This window comes from Homo sapiens, chromosome 14 (assembly GCF_000001405.40).
Source record: "Homo sapiens chromosome 14, GRCh38.p14 Primary Assembly".
In the NCBI taxonomy this organism is placed as follows: Eukaryota; Metazoa; Chordata; class Mammalia; order Primates; family Hominidae; genus Homo; species Homo sapiens.
The window spans coordinates 100,874,091-100,879,752 of NC_000014.9; the positions used below are offsets into that span (position 1 = coordinate 100,874,091).

At 59.5% G+C, this 5,662-nt stretch overlaps 2 non-coding genes across 2 annotated transcripts, besides 1 other annotated feature; both read left to right on the forward strand.

Annotated features, from left to right (window-relative positions):
• Nucleotides 403-495, forward strand: MIR337 (microRNA 337). The gene has a single exon (NR_029889.1). It is a non-coding gene; the product is annotated as a microRNA 337 (primary transcript).
• MIR665 (microRNA 665) lies at nt 943-1,014 on the forward strand. Its single transcript, NR_030617.1, has one exon. It is a non-coding gene; the product is annotated as a microRNA 665 (primary transcript).
• Nucleotides 3,105-3,315: a silencer, noted in NCBI's record as "fragment chr14:101343532-101343742 (GRCh37/hg19 assembly coordinates)". NCBI's record gives its function as "represses an EF-1alpha promoter that drives an FKBP-Casp9 reporter gene in an ReSE screen in HepG2 liver carcinoma cells {active_cell/tissue: HepG2}" and the evidence as "EXISTENCE:reporter gene assay evidence [ECO:0000049][PMID:32094911]".

A 5,662-nucleotide genomic window follows, 5' to 3' on the forward strand; every position in this document is an offset into this window, starting at 1 on the left:
CTGTTGCAACCCATTTCACAGATGTAGAAGGCAAGGCTGGAGAAGTACCAGGGAGTCAAAGCAGTGGGTGGGTGGGGTCGAGTCCCCGATGTCCACTCACAGACCTGGGCCAGAATCAGGCCTGTCTCCCCCTTCACCTCCCCATCCTCCGTCCCTTGGCCTGGCTGCACAGTCACCTGGGGGCTCTGTGGGGCTAAGGGAGGCCCAGGCCCTGGCCATAGGAGGCAGGTAGGGCAAGGCTGGGCAGGGTGGACAGGTACCCCAGCGCTGCAGGTGCCCAGCAGTGGGTGGCACTGCCTAGGCTGGCTGTCCCTTGCTGTCACTGCTCTAACCACTAGCAGCAGGCGTCCCCTCTGCCATCCGAGCGCTTGCACTGCGCTTCCGGGAGGAGGGTTGCGGCCCGTAGTCAGTAGTTGGGGGGTGGGAACGGCTTCATACAGGAGTTGATGCACAGTTATCCAGCTCCTATATGATGCCTTTCTTCATCCCCTTCAACCACGCGCAGCCCCCGGACCCTCCTCTGCACCCTTGGCTGCACGGGGACGCGTCCTCAAGTCCGCTGCTGTCCTGCCAGCCTCTTCCCGGCATGCTCCTTGGGCTCTTCTCTCTCTCTTCTGCAGCTCTCTGACTTCCTGGAGGGGAGGGCCTGGGGCTGGGCCATCTCTGAGGCCCCTCCTTGGCAGGGAACTATGCCCCTGGTGGGACACCCCCTGGGCTGACTCCACAGCCAAGGGCAGATAGGCCGGAGGGGGAGTTGGGTAGCCCTGGGGCTTCTCCCACTGAGGGGCTGGGGCTGTGCTCCCACACAGAGCCCTCCAAAGGGACCCGGCCCACAGGATGGATGGACAGACGTTGGAGAGATGGTGCCCCTTTGTGCCCAGGGTGGAGGGGGTGGGGCTTTGGCGGACCAGGGCTGGCCCTTTCTGTGCCCCAAGAGGAGGGTCTCCTCGAGGGGTCTCTGCCTCTACCCAGGACTCTTTCATGACCAGGAGGCTGAGGCCCCTCACAGGCGGCTTCTTACTCTCTCCTTAAACCTGTTCTGGAGACATTTCCCCTCTCCCCAAGGATTCCCAACTCTGGGTCCCCAGAAGCTGTCAGCTGGGCTCCCTTCTTCCCCTGTGCGTACCCTGCTCAGGCTGGGTACCTGAGGGTGCCCAATGGCAACATGAGCAGGGGGCACGGCCGTGGCCCCTGGTTCTTGGACCTCTGTCTTCTGCCTCTCTGACTAACTCAGGTCCTGTGCATGGCAGAGGTGACCCGCACCAAGCCCTGTGATATTGGCATCATTAACCCCATTAACAAGCCACGACAGCCAGCCCAGGCATGAGCATCGGGGCAGCAGGGCAGCCAGTGTGGGGAGAGAGGCCTTGCAGTAGCTGAGGCCATTAGAGAGGACAAGAGGGTGCAGGAGGGAGCATCCTCACCTCTGCCCTTCCCACTTACATCCCATCTCCCCTTCCTCACCCCTCCTTCCCCATGCACCCCTTCTTCCTGTAGGAGGGAGCACCCTCACCTCTGCCCTTCCCACTCACCTCCCATCTTCCCTTTCTCACCCCTCCTCCCCAATGCACCCCCTCCCTTCCTGCAGGAGGGAGCACCCTCTCCCCTGCCCTTCCTTCCCACCTCCCGTCTCCCCTTCCTCACCCCCGCTTCCCCCATGCACCCGCTCCCTTCCTGGTCTACCCCTCAGCTTCTGTGGTGTCAGGATGGGTATGCTTGTCTTTGTTGATCTCAGACAGGTGGACAGGGGTCTGGACGAGGCTTACTGTTTGGGTCTGAGGTCAGTGCTCATGGGCTTGGGGCATGACAAGGGTCTTGTCGTCCCCGCAGCAGGGCTCTGAGCGGGTGGGTGGAGCTTGGGAGTGGGGGTGATGGCTTCTATTTGTTGTCTTTCTCTTTTTCACTTTGGGAGCAACCGGGGTCACCAGGTGGGCAGGAGGGGACCTCACGTCTCTGCCCTGGGCAGATTGTTAAGAGCTGGTCAAGCTCCTGGCACGGGGGCCTGAGTCCAAGGCCCTAACTGGACCTGGGGCCGCCTGCAGGAGGGATGAGCGAGTCCGGACCCGAGCGGTGAGTAGCCCTCAGCTGCCTGGGTGGTGTGCTGTTGAGTGTTCCAGAAACTGGCCCTGTGTGCACCAGGGCTGGAGGCTGGCACGTTGGGCATCTCATGGGGGTGGGCTGGGTCGGGAAGGGAGGTTGATGGACAAGACTCAGCAGGAGTGGAGCTCAGGGCTCCCTCCATCCCCTGACATCAGTGACCTGGGGGTGGACAGAGAAGGTGGAAGATGGGTGCATTTAGTTGTGGCCCGCCAGGTCCCGTGGGCCTGTGTGCCAGTGTCCGCGCCAGGCTGTGCTGTCTGCTGTTCAGAGGAGTTTTCACCTTTTTTTGTGGTGGCCATGATGTCATAACCCAGCATGACATTTAACATTAACCTTCCTTTTTCTTTCCCCAGGAGAAAAAAAGGTTTGTATTATTTTTCTTTTGAATTTTTTATTTCCATAGGTTTTGGGGAACAGGTGGTGTTTGGTTACATGAGTAAGTTCCTTGGTGGTGATTTGTGAGATTCTCGTGCACCCATCACCTGAGCAGTACACACTGAACCCAGTTTGTACTTTTATCCCTCACCCCCTCCCACCCTTTTCCTGGAGTCCCCAGAGTCCGTTGTATCACTTTATCAGTAGTTCTCCTCTGGGCCTGGGGGCTGCCGCTCTTCTCTGTAAACTAAACCTGCTGTGGCTGGATGGGGCAGGGGAGCCAAGGAGGCGAGGTCCTCACTGTCTGCTGGTGTGGGGGGCCGTGGCCACTCTAGCACCGGGAGCCCCCAGTCAATATGTGTGTGTGTGTGTGAACTGTGGATAAATACGCTTACCTTAGCGCGTGTCTGGATTCCCCCACTGTGGGGCACGGGTGATTACTGCTGGTAAATTCTCTGTTTGGCCTTACCCTGCAAGGTAGTCCTGTTCATCCCTCCACCTTTTTTTTTTTTTTTTCTTGAGACGGAGTTTCACTCTTGTTGCACAGGCTGGAGTGCAGTGGCGCGATCTCAGCTCATCGCAACCTCCGCCTCCCAGGTTCAAACGATTCTCTGCCTCAGCCTCCTGAGTAGCTGGGATTATAGGCATGCGCCACCATACCCAGCTAATTTTTTGTTATTTAGTAGAGACGGGGTTTCTCCATGTTGGTCAGGCTGGTCTCGAGCTCCTGATCTCAGGTGATCCATCTGCCTCGGCCTCCCAAAGTGTTGGGATTACAGGCGTGAGCCACTGCACCCGGCCTTGCCCCTCCATCTTTGATGGCCAGGAGGAAAGGATGGCGGTCGTCGACGGTCCTGGCTGCAGGGACACGGGGACTGCCAATCCACCCCACATTTACCCAAGGAGCCCTTACCAAGCAGGGACAGAGATTTGCCATTAAAATCCAGCCTCTGGGACCCCCCAGGGGTGGCCTTCAGGAGACCTGATCTAGGGACCCTCCATTATGACCCCAGGCTCTATCCCAAGGTAGTTTACTTCAAGGGACTTGGGAGCCCCAAGAAGAATGTCATCTGGGAACAGAGGGGGTTTTAGGAGCCAGCGGCCCTTGGAGACTGGGTCTGGTTATTCTGGAAATGACCCTCCCTCTCACTACATCCCCCATTTGATGATGGGAAAACAGGCTGGAAGATGGACAGCCACTACCTGAGGTCACCCAGCAAGTCAAAGTTGGGGCCTTCTGGGGCCAGGTCACTAAAGGGGATCTGCACCTCTTGCAGCTGAGCCCCTGGCCTTAACCCATGGCAGCCTGTCTTGGGCTGCCATCAGAGGCAGAGTGCTAGGTGAACGGACAGACAGACATGGTGCCCTTGAGCTCCTGGAGCTGCTGTGATGTTGGTTGTTGTGGAGGTCATTGCTGGGCCTTGTGACTGGAGGCAGAGTGGGTGAAGTGGCCCAGGTGAGAGGACAAAGATCAGCCACCAGGAAGGGGCCTCCATCCTGGCTCTGTCCTCAGCTCCTCTGCAGCCGGTTCTGGGCCTTGATTTCCCCAAGTTTACCTTGGGAAATTGACATGAGAAGTCTGTGGATGGGGCTGGGAGCTCTGAGTGCCAGCTGTGCCCAGCAGTTTATTCCTAACTCTGAATCCTCACAGCAGCCTTGGTGGGTTGGAGTGACAGATGAGGAAACTGAGGCTGGGAGAGGCCTTCCTGCAGCCAGCCAGTGGAGGGAGAGAGAAGCCCAGAGGTGTAGCCCCTGCCTTTGAACCTGGAGATCCTGACCATGATCTCCTGGTGCTGCTATCAGGGGTAGATTCTTCAGACAGGTGGATGGTGGGTGAAGGCCAGGCACCCCTGGGGACTTGTGAGGGCATCGTGAGCCCTGTGTGGGGCTGGGCAGTGCAGGGAAGGAAGGAGGCTGAGCTTGCAGTGCCAGCCTTGGGCTCCCGTGGGGTGTGTCCTTGGTCAGGGGCTCCCCACTGTGTGCCCAGTGGTCCTGGTCCACGATGGGTAGGAGCAGGAGGCAGAGCCACACTGTCTGGAGGCTGTCATGCTCCCGTGCCTCCCCTCGAGGACACAGTAGGGTCTCTTCCATGTGGGAGCTGAGAACTCTGGGGCCAGGTGGAAATGGCTTTCCTAGGGGATGGGGTGGCTCCAACTCAGGCTAGTCAGACCCCTGCGGGGCCCCTGAGCTTTGAGCCTGAGATCTGTTGGGTGGTCTCACGGTGTGTCTTCAGGAGCAGGTTCCTCAGCAGGGCAGAGAGGGCAGAGCTGGTGTGTCCTGGCATGGGGGCCCGTGTGCACAGAGCTCCAGTGTTTTTGCCCTCCTAGATGAAGTTCAAGGTCATGCTGAGAGAGGCCCACGGCTCCTTCCCCTCTGTGTCCTCGCAGAGCTCTCACCTGTGGAGGGGTGCAGTGGGGCGGGGGTGCTCTGGGAGGTTGGAGGCCACTCCTGGATAGGTGTGACCCATGGCCAGGAAGAGGGGTCAGCATGTCCTGGACTGTGGAGGGGGAACTCAGAGTGGGTGAGTGCCACCTGCCCTACCTCCCCAACTCCCTGTGGGACCCCTGGCAGCTCCCCTACCCAGGGCAGTGCACCCTCACCCTCACAACAGCCATTTTGCCACTTTGGGGACAGCATGACCCTCTGAAATGGGACCCAGGACTTTTCCTCTCGGAGTGGGGGTTAGGGACTGCTTGAGACCAGGGCTTGTGGACCCTGCAGTGTGGGGCTCAGACCGCACCTCGTTAATCACATGGCGAGGAGGCCAAGGCCAGAGGTGGGAACTGGGTTTCGGGGCTCCCTTTTCTGGAACCCTTAGGAGAGACAGCCCCCACTCCCCCGCCTCCCACTGCCCTAAGGCACCTCTTCTGTCCTCTCTTTGACATGAGCCTGTGGGGGGTGCACGTCCCTGGTGGCCTCAGTGGGGGTGGGTGCCTTCTCATGGCAGAAAGAAGTGCCCAGAGTCTTGGTGGGGACGCCTTCAGGAAGGTTGGGGGAGGCCTGCTGCCCATGTGCCAGGCCCCCAGGGGCTGTTTCAGGGCAGAGCGTTTCCTGCCCCCACCCTTCCTGCCCAGTCCACTTGCCCCCTCGTCCACCCCACCTACTCCCTCCCTCCTCCCATGCGTGTCCCCTCCCCCGCCTATCCTCCCACCACCTCCACTTTTAGAACAAACCCCAAAGTCAGACA